This window comes from Homo sapiens, chromosome 10 (assembly GCF_000001405.40).
Source record: "Homo sapiens chromosome 10, GRCh38.p14 Primary Assembly".
In the NCBI taxonomy this organism is placed as follows: Eukaryota; Metazoa; Chordata; class Mammalia; order Primates; family Hominidae; genus Homo; species Homo sapiens.
In genome coordinates this window covers 110,409,513-110,428,176 of record NC_000010.11, presented here as the reverse complement: position 1 = coordinate 110,428,176, position 18,664 = coordinate 110,409,513, and the positions used below count along the sequence as shown (strand labels likewise).

At 48.4% G+C, this 18,664-nt stretch overlaps 5 annotated features.

Annotated features, from left to right (window-relative positions):
• Positions 2,105 to 2,154: a silencer, noted in NCBI's record as "silent region_2814". NCBI's record gives its function as "represses an Ori minimal core promoter by ATAC-STARR-seq in GM12878 lymphoblastoid cells {active_cell/tissue: GM12878}" and the evidence as "EXISTENCE:reporter gene assay evidence [ECO:0000049][PMID:35858748]".
• Positions 10,120 to 10,620: an enhancer, noted in NCBI's record as "H3K4me1 hESC enhancer chr10:112177315-112177815 (GRCh37/hg19 assembly coordinates)". NCBI's record gives its function as "activates a minimal SCP1, AML or CMV promoter by ChIP-STARR-seq in primed H9 embryonic stem cells {active_cell/tissue: H9 hESC(primed)}" and the evidence as "EXISTENCE:reporter gene assay evidence [ECO:0000049][PMID:30033119]".
• Positions 12,734 to 13,933: an enhancer, noted in NCBI's record as "P300/CBP strongly-dependent group 1 enhancer chr10:112174002-112175201 (GRCh37/hg19 assembly coordinates)". NCBI's record gives its function as "activates an origin of replication core promoter dependent on BRD2, BRD4, P300/CBP, MED14 and CDK7 cofactors, with strong dependence on P300/CBP, by STARR-seq in HCT116 cells {active_cell/tissue: HCT116}" and the evidence as "EXISTENCE:reporter gene assay evidence [ECO:0000049][PMID:35650434]".
• Positions 13,430 to 13,559: an enhancer, noted in NCBI's record as "active region_4019". NCBI's record gives its function as "activates an Ori minimal core promoter by ATAC-STARR-seq in GM12878 lymphoblastoid cells {active_cell/tissue: GM12878}" and the evidence as "EXISTENCE:reporter gene assay evidence [ECO:0000049][PMID:35858748]".
• Positions 17,011 to 18,210: an enhancer, noted in NCBI's record as "MED14-independent group 3 enhancer chr10:112169725-112170924 (GRCh37/hg19 assembly coordinates)". NCBI's record gives its function as "activates an origin of replication core promoter dependent on BRD2, BRD4, P300/CBP and CDK7 cofactors, and independent of MED14, by STARR-seq in HCT116 cells {active_cell/tissue: HCT116}" and the evidence as "EXISTENCE:reporter gene assay evidence [ECO:0000049][PMID:35650434]".

Sequence of the window (18,664 nt, the reverse complement as noted above, 5' to 3'; positions counted from 1 at the left end):
AATGCTTCCTGGGCTGGGTGCAGTGGCTCACACCTGTAATCCCAGCACTTTGGGAGGCTGAGGTGGACAGATCACCTCAAGTCAGGAGTTCAAGACCAGCCTGGCCAACATGCTGAAACTCTGTCTCTACTAAAAAATACAAAAATTTGCCAAGCGCAGTGGCACATGCCTGTAATACTAGCTCCTCGGGAGGCTGAGGCAGGAGAACCGCTTGAACCCAGGAGGCAGAGGTTGCAGTGAGCCAAGATTGCACCACTGAACTCTAGCCTGGGTGACAGAGCAAAACTCTGTCTCAAAAAAAAAAAAAGAAAAGAGAAAAAAGAAAGAGAGAGAAAGAAAGAGAGAGAGAAAGAGAAAGAAAGAAAAAGAAAGAAAGAAAAGAAAGAAAGAAAGAAAGAAAGAAAGAAAGAAAGGAAGGAAGGAAGAAAGAAAGGAAAGAAAGAAAGAAAGAAAGAAAGAAAGAAAGAAAGAAAGAAAGAAAGAAAGAGAAAGAAAGAAAGGAAGGAAGGAAAAAAGAAAGAAAGAAAGAAAGAAAGAAAGAAAGAAAGAAAGAAAGAAAGAAAGAAAGAAAGAAAGAAAGAAAGGAAGGAAGGAAGGAGAAAATGCTTCCTGGAGAAGACAGGAGGACGGAACAGGCAGGCCAGTCAAGGCCTGGGCTGCTCTGGGCCCAAGCTCTGGGCTTTCTCAGTTCCCAAGAGAGTGGCTTTTCCAGAGAGACACAGTCCTGACCCAGGCCTGGGCCTATGGCAGTAAGTCCAGTTCCCTCTTCCTACTCAGATTCTCCCAGGGTCTCTGGATTCCTTTCAATAGGACCCCCATGGGAGAGGGGACAAGGCCTGAGTCTTGAGAATCTGGGGAGGGGCTGAGACCCTGGGATCCTCCTCCATGTGTGTGTGTTTGGGCCTCACAGATCTGGAAGAATATACGCTATCCTGAGACCTTTGATGTCTACATAAGCTGCTTGTTCTCACAATAGACAAATGCTACCTTCCTGCCTCTACCCCCGAGGCCCGTGGGTCCTGGTATGGAATGTGTGGGCCTGACTAGCTGGGGATGGGTTCCACTATTCACATTACTCAATGACACACTGGCCTCCTGGTGGAAACTTCCCCATTTAGTGGAGAGACCACACCTTTGTTTTACATTTGTGTAACCCCGACAAAAGGCCGTAGGTCTCCTGGGAGTATGACCTTGGCTGTAGAATGACCAGGCTTCCTTTTCTTCTCCTTTGGTGGTTCTTCTTCTTTTTAACCCTTCTACCTTCTCCTGCCCTCACCGGTTCCAAATGAGGTCACCATTCCAATGACGTCTCTCCACCAAAGCCTTGCCAAGACCCCACCAGCTTCCCGTTGCATGCCTGACAGAGGAATCCCCACCCGCTGGGCCCTCATTCTCGTAATCACAGCCCACTCCCTCCCCAAATGGGGCCAGAATTGCTCTGTTTGTTTTTGCTTTGGATTTTATTAAATTTTTTATTTTAAGAGAAGTTACACATAAGCATAGATTTCTCAGAAATGTACAAAGTTAGTCATGAACAACTGCAGCCCTGACCCATCTCCAGGGTGGCCACTTTCGACTCTTGAAACGGATTCTTTGGAATGTTCACTTTCATGTCTCTAAATAACATCTCACATAGTTTCTTCTTGATCTGTGTAGTTTTAGGAGTTTTTTCTTGATTTCCTGCCCTGGGAGACCAGGAGTTCTTTTAGCTCCTGTTGCCTCACACCCACCCCCGCCTCTCTCTTCCCAATACAGCCACACCGTAGAGGGTAATTTTGATTATATCGCTATTCTGTGTTGACCTTTTCTGACTATGTAAACACTATGGCTGGCTGAGCCATATGGTAGACTAGGATAATTTTTTCCACCTTTCTTTTAAATCTGGGCAATAACCAGTTCGTGGGCAGCCTCAGACATCACAGCCTAGCAATGGTTTGGTTCATCTGACCCCGGCCACTGACATCACCAAACCAACCCCTTCACTGCTTCTTGAGAAACATCTGTGGTCAGACTAATGGTAACTTTACCAAGAAGACATGGTCCAAAAACTCACTGGTATCTTCTTGCTTTATGTGTCACAAGAGGCCACTGAATGGCTGCTCTGAGGTGGATGCTGAGTCAGAGTGAGTGGTTTGAATTCAGCTTCTGCCCTCTGTGGCTATGTGAACTTCGGCAAGTTACATGTCCCCTGTGAGCTTTGGTTTCTTCATTTGTAAAATGAAATTGAAGGATGGAACCGCCTACTGATTGGGATAAACTGAGATGCACGTGTAATGTACAGAGCACATAGAAAGAATGACAAATGGTGGGCATTATTATTACTACTGGGTTAATTATTCGTAGGGGCTCTTTTAGTGAATATTCCAGAATGAAGAAACAGCATGCTTCAGAAACATTCAGGGTCGGGCACGGTGGCTCACGCCTGTAATTTCAACACTTTGGGAGGCCGAGGAGGGTGGATCACCTGAGGTCAGAAGTTCGAGACCAGCCTGACCAACATGGTGAAACCCCATCTCTACTAAAAATACAAAAAATTAGCTGGGTGTGGTGGCAGACACCTGTAATCCCAGCTACTTGGGAGGCTGAGGTAGGAGAATCCCTTGAATCTGGGAGGCGGACGTTGCAGGTTGCTGAGGTCACGCCATTGCACTCCAGCCTGGGCAACAAGAGCAAAACTCCATCTCAAAAACAGAAACAACAAAAAACCCATTGAGGACTTTTAAAGTAGTTAACAGTCATGTGCCCCATCTCCCTAAGCACACAGCCCACTTGAGCCATCTCCGAAGAGCACAGTCTGTGCCCGGGCACTAAGGAGGGCCTTAGCCAGGCACTGGAGGATGGAGGTGTAGATGGGTGGGATCCCTGGACACAAGGAAAGGGACTGGTCTTCCCCACTCCTCCCTATTCTGTTTTTTTATGGTGTCACTCAATTAATTTGGGTTTACTGGGGACATCGTCCTCCAACAGGGACCTATGTCATGTTAGTCTCAGCTACCTCTGGTTGCACCTTGGAGAGAGTTGACCACCTGACCCCTTCCAGCCCCTTTCATATTTATTTGGGAGGGGGTGTTCATCATATATAGTATGTGCTAATTTTAAGAGATTCAAACAGTGCAGAAGTATAAAAGAAAAAATTTAAGATCTTTTTTCTACCTTAGAGGTAAATGCTGTTAACAGTTTGCCATGTGTCCTTCCAGGATTTTATTTTCCATGCTTTAAATGTGCATGGGGGACCGTGCGCCATGGCTCACACCTGTCATCACAGCACTTTGGGAGGCCGAGGCAGGTGGATCACTTGAGCCCAAGAGTTCTAGACCAGCTTGGGAAACATGGTGAAACCTTGTCTCTACTAAACCTATAAAAATCAACTGGGCATGGTGGCACACACCTGTAGTCCCAGCTTCTCAGAAGGCTGAGGTGGGAGGATGGCTTGAGCCTGGGAGGTGGAGGTTGCAGTGAGCCGAGATCGCGCCACTGCACTCCAGCCTGGGAGACAGAGTGAGAACCTGTCTCAAAAAAATAAAAATAAAATAAATGTGTGTGTGTGTGTGTGTGTGTGTGTGTGTGTAGAATTAGTTCAAGTATTACATTCAGTTACAGTATATGAATATAATGCATATATAGTAATAAAATAAGATCACACTGTACTTTCAATTCTGTGACTTGTTTTTTCATACAATAATGTACCATGGGCCACATTCCAGTTTGCTCTAGATATCTTTGGCAGTGTGCTGTGTATGTTTTTGTGGGTTGCCTTCCATTTTACCAAGACAGGCAATCCTGTGCTAGTCTTGCTCTTGCATATATCCTTTTGCATTTGTGCTAATATTCTGTTGAAAGTAGGTTTCTACAGAGTGAAGATGAGGAAAACAGCTCAGGGGTTACTCCTCAGCCATCTCTCTGGGGCCTAGCCCCCTCCTCCCAGATGACCCTCTCCAGCTTCCCTAACTACCCCCACCTCCCCTAACTACCCCCACCTCCCTCCACTAACCCACCACTCCTCCCAGGAAATGTCTAATCTCGGCTAGGCCGAGGCAACCAGGACGTTTCATGTGTGGCTGAAAGCCCGAAACCTTCCTTTGCTACTGGCTGTCATGGAAGACACAACTAATTCAGCCACCGGGATTTTATGGTGCACATCTTCATTTCAGCCCATGACCGAGCCTGTGCTGTGCCTTTACCTCGTGTGAGGGTAAAACTGCTTGCAGATCAGAAATGATTACTATTCCTGCCTTTGGCCTTTCCACAGAGCTCCCAGTTTCATACAAAGAGGAAACTGAAACCCAGAGAGGGAAGTGGCCCACCCAGGGCCTGCCCCTGGCCGCTGGGTCAGAATTTGGGTTTCTGGACACGGGCAGTCGGGGCGGGAGTGGGGAGGTGGAAATAGGTTACAGAGGTGAGGGAGCAGAACTATGCACCTGGCTCTCTGCCAAGATTTCCCATTCAATCCCAATAGCCATGCTAGGAGATGGAGGCAGCATCATGTCCATTTTCCAGAAGAGGAAACTGAGGCAGATCTGGGTGTGAAACTAGAACTGTCAGACTTCTAAAACTCCCCATCCATCTTCCCCTGATTTCCAAAATATGAGATCTGGGATGTAGCTCCCAGGTTTGGGGGTCTGAGGTAACCAACAGCCCTTCCAGGTGTTCCTGCCCTCCTCCCTCCCCAGGAGCGCAATTCCCATGAGGAGCCCGGCTCCTCTTCCAGGAGGGCCCAAACCTGAAGAACCCCAGCCAGGCTGCTGGATGCTTTGTCTCCCCTCCACACACAGCTGTGAGACTTGCAGAAAGCCTGACAGACTCCCACCTCCAACAGGGTTGGAGCACGTGGATCTCTGGCCTCTGCACCCTTGGGTGGGCAACCCTGGTGACTTCTCAAAGATCACATAGCAGGGTAGGATCCAAGTGGCAGGAAGAACCTCCATGTTCTCCTTTCCACTCCTTGGCTGACAGATCAGCCTGTGCTCTGGGGAAAGGGGCGAAGGCTCCTCTGGAGCAGCCTAAAGGGCTGGGGCTAAAGGAAGGCCCACCTGGGCTCCCCCATTCACTCACCCTCTGCACCATCTTGGGCAGGACCTTCCTCCTGAAGACTCCAGCCTCCTTCCCAAACCCAGCCTGGTTGCTGGGCACTGGGCACTATCAACAAAGCACTCCCCATGGGGCCAGCTCTTGCCAGGGACTGAGAACAGTGATCTCCTGGGAGAAGCCTGTTACCCAAGGCTAGATTATGGGGAGAAGCGGGGCTCGCTGGGAGCAGCTCCTGCTGGCTTTGTGTTTGAAACAATTGTCAGGAAATGCCAACTGCTTATTGGGCCTATAGCCTCCTTCCTTCCCTCACACCTTTTGAAAAGGTGAGCTCCTGGAAGACAGAGCCCCTCAGACAAACCCAGCTTACCCTCAAGCTCCAATGCCCAGCTCCACCCACTCTGCCTGTTTTGGTGTTTTGCACCACCCTGGGCTGGCCAGAGCTCTCTAGTCTCCTCTCCTGCCCTTCCCCAAGCTGTTCTGTCATTTTCCAATTCTTAGTATCATTTTTTTCTAATAAAAGCAACACAGGTTTACTGTTAAAAAAAATATTACAAGCTGGGCTCAGTGGTTCACTACTATAGTCCCAGCTACTTGGGAGGCTGAGGTGGGGGGATTGTTTGAGCCCAGGAGTTAGAACCCAGCGTTGGCAACATAGTGAGAGACCCTATTATTATTTTTTTTTTTGTTTTCGAAACAAGGCGTCACTCTGTCGCCCAGGCTGGAGTTCAGTGAGGCAATCTTGGCTCACTGCAACCTCTGCCTTCCAGCTCAAGTGATCCTCCCACCTCAGTCTCCCAAGTAGCTGGGACTATAGGTAGGTGCCACCACACCAAGCTAGTTTTTTAAAATTTTAGTAGAGATGGGGTTTTGCTATGTTACCCAGACTGGTCAGAACTACTGGGCTCAAAGGATCCACCTGCCTCAGCCTCCCAAAGTGTTGGGATTACAGGTGTGAGCAACCGCACCTGGCACTCACTTCTTAAAAGAAAAGAAAAGAAAAGATTGCAGAAATATCTAAATCTAAAGTAGAGGAAGAAAACCAGCCCCCATCCCAGTCCCAGACATACCGTATTGTATGATAAGCTCAAACTACACAGACTGACCTGCACCTCATTTCTTCAAGGAGATGTCTTTGAAACAAAAACTGATCATGTCCCTTCCATGTTTAAATTACTCCCACGGCTTCCTACCACTCTCGGATAAAGTACACTCCTGATCTTGGCTATCAGGCCCTACCAGCCTCTGCTTCAGTCTAGAGCCTCCCCCTCCCAGCCACACTGCCTGCTTTCAGGCTCCTGTCCTCCCTCTTTCTCCACCTCTTTTCTTCTCTTTCTTCCTCTCTTTTCCCTTTTGCTTTTGCACAGGTGGAGCCCCTGTCCCACCTGGAGTGCTGTTCACCTGGTGACCTTCTGCTCCCCTTTCAGATCCCAAATGACTTCCTCTGAGAGGCCTTCTCAGATCCCCCTGCTTGTGGAAAGCCTTGCTTCCTCTTGTCACAGCTGCAATTTTAAATTCACATCTGACTCTTGTGTCTTGCTTCCCAAAACCATCCAGTTCAAGACTAAACAATTTAAGGGGGCAGAGCTCTGTTTTGCTCAGTATCCTCTCCCAGTGCCTGGTACATTGTGGATGCTCAATAAATACTTGGATGTATGGACATAGTAAGTACTAATTATCTGATTGCTTACATGGGCCAGCACAATGCTGGGCATGGGGGAACTCAGGGGATTAACACAACAAGGGCAGGTTCTCAAAGGCTGGGGGTTAGCAAGCCAGGGATGAGGCAGGCAGGGGTTTGGGTAAGTGCTAGAATGTGATGTCAAATGGTTACAAGGGCATGGCTTTCAAGGTCCTTTTGTGATGTTGTTAAGTCATTGCCTGATTGTCTTCTCTACTGTTCCTGTTAAACACAGGCCCCTGGAGAAGGGAGTCTTTGCTTCTACTTTTCTTTCCTACTTCCTTGCAGCCCATGGCCTCCGTCTTAGCACTTAGGCCAGGCCAGAGGTCTACAGAATGTGTGTATTAAAATACTGGATGGATGGATGGGTGGATGGATGGATGGATGGATGGGTGGGTGGATGGATGGATGGATGGATGGGTGGATGGATAGATGGATGGATGGATGGATAGATGGATGGATGGTTGGATGGATGGATGGATGGATGGATGGATGGATGGATGGATGAAAGAGCTAAAAAAGCTAGCAGGGCCTCAGAGATCCTTTATTCTCACTCTGATTTTTCAAATGAGAAACTGAAGTGTAAGAGAGGTGGAGTACATCCTTAGTCACTTCCTCTCTTTGAGAACTTATATTGATTTTTTTTCTTTTCAGTCTATAAACATGTTGAAATATCCTTCACTCTAAACAAAACAAAACAAAACACCTCTTTCTCTCTTCCCTACAACCTTTCCCTTGAGCTAGGACTTCCCCCTTTCCTTTCACTGCCAAACTTCTTGAAGATCTTACAAAATTCACCCACTGGACTTCCTCATCTCCCATTATCCCTGGACCTCTAGCTTTTGGCTTCTGTCCACATCACCATGGCAACAGCTCTGAAGTTGCCACTCACCAGAGACCTTCTAGGCCTGGAGCCCTTCCTTGGCCCAGGTAGTGTTTGGCACTGTCGCCACATGTTCTCTGAACCCCAGAGGCACTGCTCTGCACAGGGGCCACTCTTCCTGTCCAGAAGGCTGCTCTCTTCTGGGACCTTTAATGGCACCTCTTCCTTCTAGCACCTTCCACCACAGCTCTGGCCTCAGCCCCTTCTTTGCTCTCATTCTGTATTCTCTCAACATTACTGAGTGCCTCTGGGTGCCTGGTGCCATTCCAGGCTGTTGGCTGCATTACCTTGTGTAATCCTTACGCTGACCCTCTGACACAGGTGTATTAGTGTCACCCATGCTTTACAAGTAGAGAAGCTGAGAAGCAGTGAAGATAAGTCAATCACTCAATCCTACACAGTTGGTAAGTGGCATCTTTGGGACTCGAATAAAATCTTGCTGTTTTCAAGCCTGTACTCTTGGCTGCGAAGCCACAACTTTTTCTTAGCAGTCTCAGCCACACTCAGGCCTCGCATCTCTTTTTACAACTCTCAAGTTAGTATTTTTAAAAGGAACCTCCCTTTGGAATGCCAGGTTTGCTCTTCCAAAGTCCTGGTGAAATTTGTTCTTAGATATCCCTTTAAAATCTCCAAGCCAGACTCCTCAGGTCTTTTGCTCTCTTGATCTAGGGGCAAATCCTTCCCTGCCACCCTCAGGCTCACCTGCATTGTCAGCCCCCATCCCTGCCCCTTGCCCAGTCTGCCATGATCTCCTCCTGTCTCCTCTTGCGTCTGACCTCCTCTCTGTGTGTTCTGAAACAGTCTGGTGCTCCCTGCAGTTCCTTCTCTGCTGAGAGAGGACCCTCCCTGGATTCCCTTCCTTCATTTCCCTTTGACCACTAGAAATCCTTCGTATCTAGAAAATAGGCGGACAGGAAATGTTTTAAACATCAACAGTGGTTACCTCCAGATGAGGGGGATCCAGGTGACTTATTTTCACATCTGTTCAGTATTTTCCAAATTTCCTATAATGAGGATGTTTTACTTTATAATCAGAAAAGAACTTGTTAAGATAATTTCAGAAATTAATCTTATTCATCTGCCCTGCCCACTTCCTCTTTGAACCCCGTCTGTAGCCTGGTTCACGTGACACCTCCTTCAGGTCCCACTGGGGCTGCCTTGGCTACTTGAGAGCTGGGCATTTGTTCACACACGATGATCCGCTTGGTCCCTGCAGCCTCCTCCAGTGCCCTGGGTGTACCGGGGCACCCCACAAATGCAGGAGAAGTAGTTAAAATAGACATATTCAAAAGAATATTCATCAAAGAAGTAAGAGACTGGAGACCCTTTAAATGTCTATCCAGAGAGGCCTTGTTAAATAGCACATGGGAGGTCTGGGGGCTTGCCTATACCCCTTAGAAAGAAAGACATAGTGTGTAGTAAACCACCATGGCACACATTTACCTATGTAATAAACCTGCCCAGCCGGGCGCAGTGGCTCACGCCTGTAATCCTAGCACTTTGGGAGGCCAACGCAGATGGATCACAAGGTCAGAAGTTTGAGACCAGCCTGGCCAATATGGTGAAACCCCATCTCTACTAAAAATACAAAAATTAGCCGGACGTGGTGGTGGGCGTCTGTAATCCCAGCTACTCAGGAAGCTGAGGCAGGAGAATCACTTGAACCCAGGAGGCAGAGGTTGCAGTGAGCCGAGATCGCGCCACTGCACTCCAGCCTGGGCGAAAGAGCGAAACTCCATCTCAAAAAAAAAAAAAAAAGAAAAGAAAAGAAAACCTACACATCCTGCACATGTACCCCTGAACTTAAAATAAAAGTTGAAAAAAAAGAAAGTCATAGATCCCAGCTGCCAATATGAACCAACTTCCAAAAGATGGTATTAAATTAAAAAAAAAAAATCCAGTAAAATGTACATAGAATGTTCCTATTTATTTAAAAAATAAAAGGATAGCCACATACACACACATATATGTATGTATAGATACCTAGAAGAACTTTTTGGAAGGATATCCTCAAACTGGTAAGAGCAATTGCTTTGGGAAAGGGATGGGGGACAGGGGAGCTGGATAAAAAACATCAGAGGAGGTATGAGCATTGTTTCTGTTCAGTTTAAAAAACTGTTTGCATTTACCTTTAAAAGAAGAATACAACCAAAGGGGCTGGGCGTGGTGACTCATGCCTGTGTCCCAGCACTTTAGGAGGCCGAGGCAGGAGGATGGCTTGAGCCTAGGAGTTCAAGACCATCCTGGGCAACAAGCTGAGACCCTTATCTCTACAAATTTTTAAATATTAGCTGGGCGTGTTGCTCAGGAGTTCGAGGCAGGAGAATCGCTTGAACTCGGGAGGCAGAGGTTGCAGTGAGCCAAGATCACACCATTGCACCCCAGCCTGGATGACAAGAGGGAAATGCCATCTCAAAAAAAAAAAAAAAATTAGCTGGGTGTGGTGGCAGGTGACTGTAGACTCAGCTACTCAGGGGGCTAAGGTGAATGGATCGCTTGAACCTGGGAGGTCAAGACTGCAGTGAGCTGTGATCATGCCATTGCACTCCAGCCTGAGTGACGGAGCACGATCTTGTCTCCAAAAAACAAACAAACAAAAAAATACAAAAAAAGAAAAACAACAAAAAGCAACTTACGATTGGTAGGTGCGTAACCTACCCAGAAGCCCACAGCCATGAAGTGGGAGGACCCCCAGGCACTTTGTACCACTTCTGAGGCCTCCTCTCTCCCCTTTCCCTTCTAATGGTTCCTTCCCGGGGCAGGGGGATACCAAACAAAATCCCCCCAATCCATCCCTGCAGCTGGAGTCTGGGCCCTATTCCAACAAGGACCCTTGTGCACTGAGGCCCCGTGAGATGGTCCCCAGCAGGAACCCCAGGCTGAGTTAGGGACAGATTCCCCCAGCTCACCGTGTGCCCTCTCCTAGGGGAAATAACTCCTCCCCAAAGCAGGCTGGTCACCGCAGGTTTGTTGGCACAGGCTGATGTGCTGCGCCCTTGCTGGGCACTCTTCTCAGGGTGGAGAGCACCAGCTGACATCAAGGTGGTGACTCAGCACCTTAGCAGCTCCTCCTCCAGAGGAAAAAGCCTTGCTGGCACGTGCTGGGCATGATGGGTGGGATGTGGTGGGAAAGACAGCCTGGCCTGGCCTGGCTTCTCCACCGGTGGGGATACTGTGGGCTTGGCCTTGGCCAGAGGGCTCTGGGCATCATTTATCTCCCCCTGCATTCAGGTCCTCCCTTAGGGGGCAGAGATTGGACTGGGCATAGCCTTGCAGGCTGCCAGCCAGGGAGGAAATTGTCCTCAGCATAATAATAATTTATACATCTTTATAGCCTCTTATCTGCAGATCTCAAAGCACTGAAAAGCTCAGATATTGTTTGTGGAGTGAGAATTTGCCTGGACCAAGAGCTCTGCAGCCCAAGTCAAGACCAGCTGAAGCCCTCTTGCTCACAACTGGGGCTCACACACTCGCTACCTTACTCACCCAGGCCTGGGGGCCTGGCTTTGTCCCTGCCACGCCCCTGCTCAGCCACAGACACTGAGAGCCATAGTCTTTGTCACTCAAGACCAATTCAGCCAATGGCCAGAGCACCTAAGGGGGCTCCCCACCCCTGTAAGTGTCCCACTTGGTGGGCCAGGCTAGGAATGTGGGCAGATGGGAGGAACCCTGGCTTGAGATCCAGTAGGCCTTGATTCTCAAAGCTGGCCACTTATTGGATTGATGTAGCCCTTCTCCCACCCAGGCCTCTATGTCCTTACCCAGTAAAAGGTGTTTGGAATCCTCCAGGGATTGCAAACCATGCTAACCAAAATCTTGGCTTTTTCCAAGGGAGCTTCATGGCTTTTGTGAATACTCAATTCAAATATAATTCCCAAAATGTATTTTATTTATTTTTACTTATTTATTTTAAGACAGGGTCTCACTCTATTGCCTAGGCTGGAGTGCAGTGGCATGGATCATGGTTCACTACAGCCTCAAGCTCCTAGGCTCAAGTGATCCTCCCACCTCAGCCTTCTGAGTAGGTGAGACAATAAGTGTATGCCACCACACCCAGCTAATTTTTAATTTTTTTGTAGAGATGGGGGTCTCCCTATGTTGCCCAGGCTGGTCCTGGGCTCAAGCCATCCTCCCTCTTTGGCCTCCCAAAGTGCTGGGATTACAGGTGTGAGCCACTGTGCCTGGCCCAAAATGTATTTTAAACTACTTGAATATTTGTAATAAGCAGCACCATGCACATTTAGAAGTGATACGTGATTTTCACACACTGGAGCTCACCTCAGTTGTGTTCACACTGATTTCATAAGTAACACAGTAACATGTTGGAAACTTGAACTTCTTAGAAAATATATTTAAACTAGTGGAGTGAAGCTTTTATTGTTCACATACACTGGGGCCCTGTGTCGGGTCAAATCTTATTTGGAAAAAGGGTTCTGTTTAAAAAGATCTCACAGGCATTGGGCTTCGTCACCAGGAAGAGAGATAAGGAGAAGTGATATGACCAGTGTTTCTGGTGAGTGACTTCTGTGTCCCACAACTGTGTTGGAAGATTTTCTCAGCAGACTGCAGAACATCTTATCTGAGCTCTGGTCTGAGCAGTGCCACTGATTGGCAGACATTTGCAAGTTGGTTCTGGAAGTCACTGGTAGCTGACAGCTCCAGGCCAATCTGAAAGAGGTAGGGCCCGTTTCTGCACCAGGGCAGAAGAGTGAAGCCTTTCAGGAGCTGCCTGGGGATAAGAAACAAATACTAAGAACTCAAATCACAAGTTGCCTAGCTCCAATGTGCCAGGCGACGGGCTGCACCTCTCACCCATGCAAATACATTTGTCCCTCACATGTACATAAGGAGGTTTAGCCTCATTTTATAGGTGAGGAAAGTGGTACACAGATAGTTTGACACCCCCCAAATTCCCTAGCTAGTGAGTGACAGTGCTGGGAGCAAACCCCCAAGTCTGGGATGGGGATCAGAAACTCACAGTTTTAATGAGCACCCCAGGGGATTCAGGTAATTCTGATGCAGGTGGTCCACACACCCTTCTCCGAGAAATACTCTACTACATTATACTGGGTGCAGGGGCTGGATACAGACTGAAGTAGAAATAGTTCTGACCAACAGTGGCCTTGTCATCAGCACCTGCTTTTTACCAACCTTTTACCTAACAGGTGGCTCTGCCTGAACAAGGTCTTAGAGGGGTCTCTGGACATCTGATACAGGCAAGCATCTGCCCCTTTCTTTGCTTCCATTTTCACCTCAATAGAGCAAGGGATGACATCTTGGTGCCCTTCCTGCTCTCAATCCTGTGAATCCATTACCAGCCTCTGTGACCTGAGTACCAGACCAGGAGCTCCAAGGTTGGGTCTCAGAGTGGTAAAGGGTCTTGCTTGAGTCAAACAGTTAGTAAGTAGTAAAGCCTCCTTTAGTCAGGCTGCTGGGGTCCAGATCTCCACCATCTTAACTCCCAAGCAGTGGTGTCCCCAAGGACGGGGCCATAGGAATGGTGCACATGGGTACAATAAGAGGTCATATCATCTACAGAAAAATTACAAACAATAATAAACTGACTAACAGTGATGCACCAGCAATTCTAATCAACGTCAGTGATAAACTACTTCTGTCCCCGCCACACCCCCACTAGCTTGGTATGCCACCCACTGCCACCCTCTGCCGCATTCTCTCCTGGGGTTATGTGAGTCACTGCTGTGCAGTGAGGCTTCTCAGAGGAAGGAGAGGAAGAGACCTTGTTAGGGGTGGGGGTGAGGTCTCTTCAATGTGGTCCCCATCCGGCCACACCATCTGTGACAAAGACACCCAAGAGAATGTGGTCTGGGTGACTACAGGGCTCATTTACCTCAGGCTAAAAATAGGTGCATTCCCCGCAGCAGGTGGGTGACTCAGCAGGCCTGAGGAAAGCTTCTAGATGGAGGAAGCGCAGTCTTGCCAGCCCAGGTTTCCCCCCGGTACCAGAACAACAGGAAGGGGCTGATGACGGAATTGTAGCATGCATTTCACAACCCCTTCTGCGCCTCCCAACTTTCCCCTGCTGCCGTTCCCCAAACTCCCTGTTCAAAAATTGCTGTTCAAATTCCTGAAATTGCTAGTCCAATTGAGAGCCCAAATGAGACCATGTGGCCAACTGCTCAAACTTATGGTAGCTTTCTTCCAGACCTTAAAGAGAGAGGCGAGAGAAGGTGCATGCATGTATGTGTGTGTGCACACGTGTGTGAGAGCAGGTACATGAGAAGCAGGCCACAGAGCGTCTATACTGGAGTCTGCCTTTGTCTCTGACCTCCCAACCTGGCCGCTGGCCACATACAGTGGAACCCAAGGAGGACTGCTGATGCTCTCTGATCATTTTCTGCAATGCGTTATGCCCTGGGAAATGAAAAGTGCTCCCTTCTTTCCATCCCCAGACTTTTCAGGAAGCAAGCACAGTCCTGACCTTCTAGATATATCTCCAGAGGCTCAACAGAAGCTGAGGAGTGAGGCAATTATTTGAAGAATTCAACCCCACTTCAGGCAGCTGTCTGAGCAGATTGATGCAACGGGAAGAGGCAAGACTGAGCGCCAGGACCTAGTTTCTCGTCCTGGTGCTGCCGCTCATTTGCTTTGTGACCTTGAGCAAATCAGTTTTCCTCTCGAGCCTCTAGTTTCTTTCTCCTCTGCACATCCATTTGTTATTTCTTCAACAAATACCTATTAAATGCATACTGGGCCATGCACCTGAGTATACCATGCTAGATTCAGGAACAAGCAACTATGGAGGATGAAAAATGTCCAGGAAGTCTTTGCACCTCCTCCTAACAAAAACTAGCACTACTTCTCTGTCCTTTGACTCTAGGATGACCTTGTAACTTGCTTTGACTAATGCTGCGAAAGTGACTCTTGACTTTTGCTCTCGCCCTCTTGGAACCCAGCTACCACATGAGGAAGCCCCAGCTAGTCTGCTGGAGAGGCCACATGGAGGAGAACTGAGCCTCCCTCACTGACAGCCTCCACCAACAGCCCATCAAGTTAGACTATGCAGTCCCAGTCAACAAGCCACTTGACCAAAAATGTAAGAGTGAGCCCAGCCAAAACCATCTGGAGCAGAAACAAGCCACCCTGCTGAGCCTTGACCAAACTGTCAACCCACAGAATTGTGAGCAATTACATGGTTGCAGTTTTCAGCTATTAAGTTGTGGTGGTGGCTTGTTATTGATATAATTAATGTTTATTGACAATTTCCAATGTGCCATTGACAATGCTAAATGTTTTACATATATAATTTCATTTATTCCTCCCATCAACCATGTGAGGCAGGTACTACTATTCAAATATCCATTTTACAGATGAGAACACTGAGGCACAGGAAGGAGAAGCAACTTGCTGAAGATCAAAGAACAGCTGGGTAGGGGAGCTGGGATATGAGGCCAGGCAGTCCAAGCTTCAGAGCCTACACTGGTAATTCACCACCACCTTACACAGAACCAAACAGACCTGGTTCTTGCCCTTACAGAGTTTATCATCTAGGTGGGAGACTGGCATTAAAGAAACACAGAAATAAATATACAATCACAAATATTGATGAGTGCTAGGAAGAAGACAGATGCTACGGTGTGTTCACAGAGAAGGCCTCTAGGGAGGCCCGAGGGTCAAAGGGGCAACCAGCTGAGCGAGCTGGGGCAAAGACCAGAGGATTAGAATGTGATTTTGCAATTTCTGTCAGCATAGATGTCCCCTGGGAAGCCTGGTAGAAATGCAAAAAAGACCTGGGCCTAATTCCCCAGAGGTTCTGATTTTCACCAGTCACCTCCAGATATTCTGATTTGCTGGCTTTGCTTGATTGGGAGCCTGATAATTCTTTTTGTTTTTGTTTTTCTTTCTTTCTTTCTTTTCTTTCCTTCCTTCTTTCTTTCTTTCTTTCTTTCTTTCTTTCTTTCTTTCTTTCTTTCTTTCTCTCTCTCTCTCTCTCTCTCTCTCTCTTTCTTTCTTTCTTTCTCTCTCTCTTTCTCTCTCTCTCACTCTTTCTTTCTTTCTTTTTGAGATGGAGTCTTGCTCAGTCACCTAGGCTGGAGTGTAGTTGTGCAATCTCGGCTCACTGCAACTTCTGCCTCCCGGGTTCAAGCGATTCTCCTGCCTCAGCCTCCCCAGTAGCTAGGATATTACAGGCATGTGCCACCACACCCGGCTAATTTTTGTATTTTTGGTAGAGACAAGGTTTCACCATGTTGGCCAGGCTGGCTGGTCTCCAACTCCTGACCTTGTGATCCGCCTGCCTCGGCCTCCTAAAGTGCTGGGATTACAGGCTTGAGCCACTGCACCCGGCCTTCTTTTTCGTTTTTAAACGTGCCCCCCAGCTGATTTTTCTCATAAGGGAAATTTGAGAAGTACAGCTCAGTAGTATCGTGTGAATAGATTAAACAAAATAGCTGCCCAGCCCCCATTCTGAGAGAGATTATGATCCATTTGGTCTGGGGTATTTTTTTTTGAGACAGAGTCTCACTCTGTCACCCAGGCTGGAGTGCAGTGGTGTGATCTCAGCTCAGTAGAGACAGGGTTTCACCATGTTGGCCAGGCTGTTCTCGAATTCCTGACCTCAGGAGATCCTCCCACCTTGGCCTCCGAAAGTGCTGGGATTACAGGTGTGAGCCACCGCATCCGGCCTTGGAGTGAATATTTTTAAAAGCTCTTTGGGTGATTCTAATGTGTGGCCAGGGCTGGGAAGTGATGTTGGAAGATTCTCCAAGGTCCAAGGCTGCTGCTTTTCTCTAGTTCTTTGGAGACACCAGGGCTGGGAAGTGATGTTGGAAGATTCTCCAAGGTCCAAGGCTGCTGCTTTTCTCTAGTTCTTTGGAGACACCAGGGCTATCTGGGGCTTCTGAAGCTCTCCCTTTGGTGATTTAATACTGTGGAGACCCAGAACAGAGCCTGAGGTCAACCTTTGCTCCAGACGGGGCTCTGACTGAACAGGCCCAGTAGACCCCTCCTCACAGACTACCCTCCCCCCGTAACATTCCCAGGGGCTCCCTCTGGCTCCCACATTCCCTTTAATTTTCATTTGCTTTAAAGTGGAGAATTCCTTTAATTGCAGGGAGAAAATGACTACCACTTGCAAATATTTGTCCTCCTCTAGGGCCCTATAAGGCAGCTCCTTCATTTTATTCTCTTCCTTTGACACCTTGCTCAGGGCCTCTCGGAGCTCATATTCCCCACTCTCTGGAGAATGATGCCATCTGTGGGGTGACCCATAAGAAGGGCCCATGGTGCCTGGATGGTTTCTTATCTGGCTTCCTCCTCTTCTTCCAAATAAGGCAGGAGGGTCACCGGGAGTGCCACCTGATGCAGCTTGATTTAGACCAGAGAGTATGAAAGAATCCACTCTTGGCTTGGGGCCCACCAGCCGCAGGCCTGAAGAAAGCTTGCTGTAGGCGAGGAGGCAGAGAGAGAAGGGCGCTGGCCCAGAATGCTACAGCCCCTTGTGAGTGGCGCAGCATGGGCTTGAGCATGCAGAGGTAGCACGTTCACGGCACAGGCGTGAGAAATGCCTCCTCCCGACAGCCTTGTCCCTCCATTCCAGTGTGGCTGATGGTCGCCACATAGAGGATTGCCACGAGAATTCAGAGTTCGTGGTGGGGTCTGGGGCATGGCGGGGACTCCCTAAAGGAGTTTTCATTCCTCTTTGCTAGGACAGACACAGAAATAAACTTGATGCCCGAGGAGGAAGACAGGGCCCCAGGAAATACCCTTCTTTAGGGGCTGGGAGAGACTCCAGTAGTTGCGGCCCATCCCTGGAGGCCCCAGCTCTCTCTCCAGTCCCCAGGAGCTGAGAGGTCAGCCCTGCCCACTCCTGTCTCACACAGAGGACCCTCCAAGCTGGCTGTATGGGAACAGCCTTGCCCACACATGATCCAGATGGTTGCCCAGAGGAGGGGATGGCCGAGGGAAGGGTGAGGCCTGACCAGTGATGAAAGAATGAAGAGAATGAGGTACTGACTCATTCTCTGGCTCCTGCTCTAGGAAGGAAAAGGACTTATTTGCGGGTGGGGGTGTGGCTGGAGCCAGGCCAAAGGGTGCAGTGAGAAATGAGGTGCCTCTGGCTCACGGATAAATCCTCCTGGGAAGTGGGGCCAGTTTACGAAACCCAGCAACTTGATTGACGGTCTCTTCTTTCTTCTAACTCATCCTTCTAACTGGGAGCAGTAGGAGGAATTCCAAAGACCAAGGCAGGCAGCCTTTCTTGAGTTCTACTGCACATCCAGCCCTAGGCCAATTCTGGTGTGGACACCATCCCTTCAGAGTGACAGGATGAACTTGGGGTTCAGCATCTGCTTGGGCAGAGCGAGTGTTGGCCGCTGTGCCTTGTTCTCTCTCCCCACCTTTCTTTCCTCCCACCCACCCCTACCTCACCAAGCCAAGTATGGACTGTATCTGGGACAAATTTTTCTGTATAGATCAAACAGTTCCAAATAGCACAAAGGCAAAGGCACTTACGGGTTAGTAGTGGGCCTCCTCGGTATCTGTTTGTATGAGTTAATTTGCATGAGGGTAGATAGGCCTCTAAGGAGGAAGTTTGGTGAGAGGTTAAGCATGGAGTACAAAGGAGCAAGGGGCCTGAGTCTCATTCTCTGTATTGCTGGAATGGTGGATGTGACTGAAAAAAAAAATTTTTTTTTTCTTTCTTTTCTTTCTTTTTTTTTTTTTTTTTGCTTAATGCAAAAACGGAATTTACTGACTTTAGAATGGAAGTCCAAGGGGTGTGGCTGGTTTCAGACAAGACTTAATCAGGGGCTCTAAACAATGTCACCAAAACTTCATGTTCTCTGTTATCTTTCGGCTCAGCTCTTCTCCAGGTGACAGCTCGATCACTGGCTGGTTCCACCCCATGGGGGCAAGATGACTGCAGAAGCTCCAGGCCTCACACCCTCTCACCAGGGCAAAGAACTAGTTCAAAAGTTCTGGAACTGAGTTTCATTGGCTCTGATTTGCCTGCCTTCGGTCATGTACCCATCCCTTAACCAATAACTGTGGCAGGGGGGTAGAGGGTACTGATTGCAGGATCATAATCTCCACTCCCAGATCTGAGTGTCTGGGAA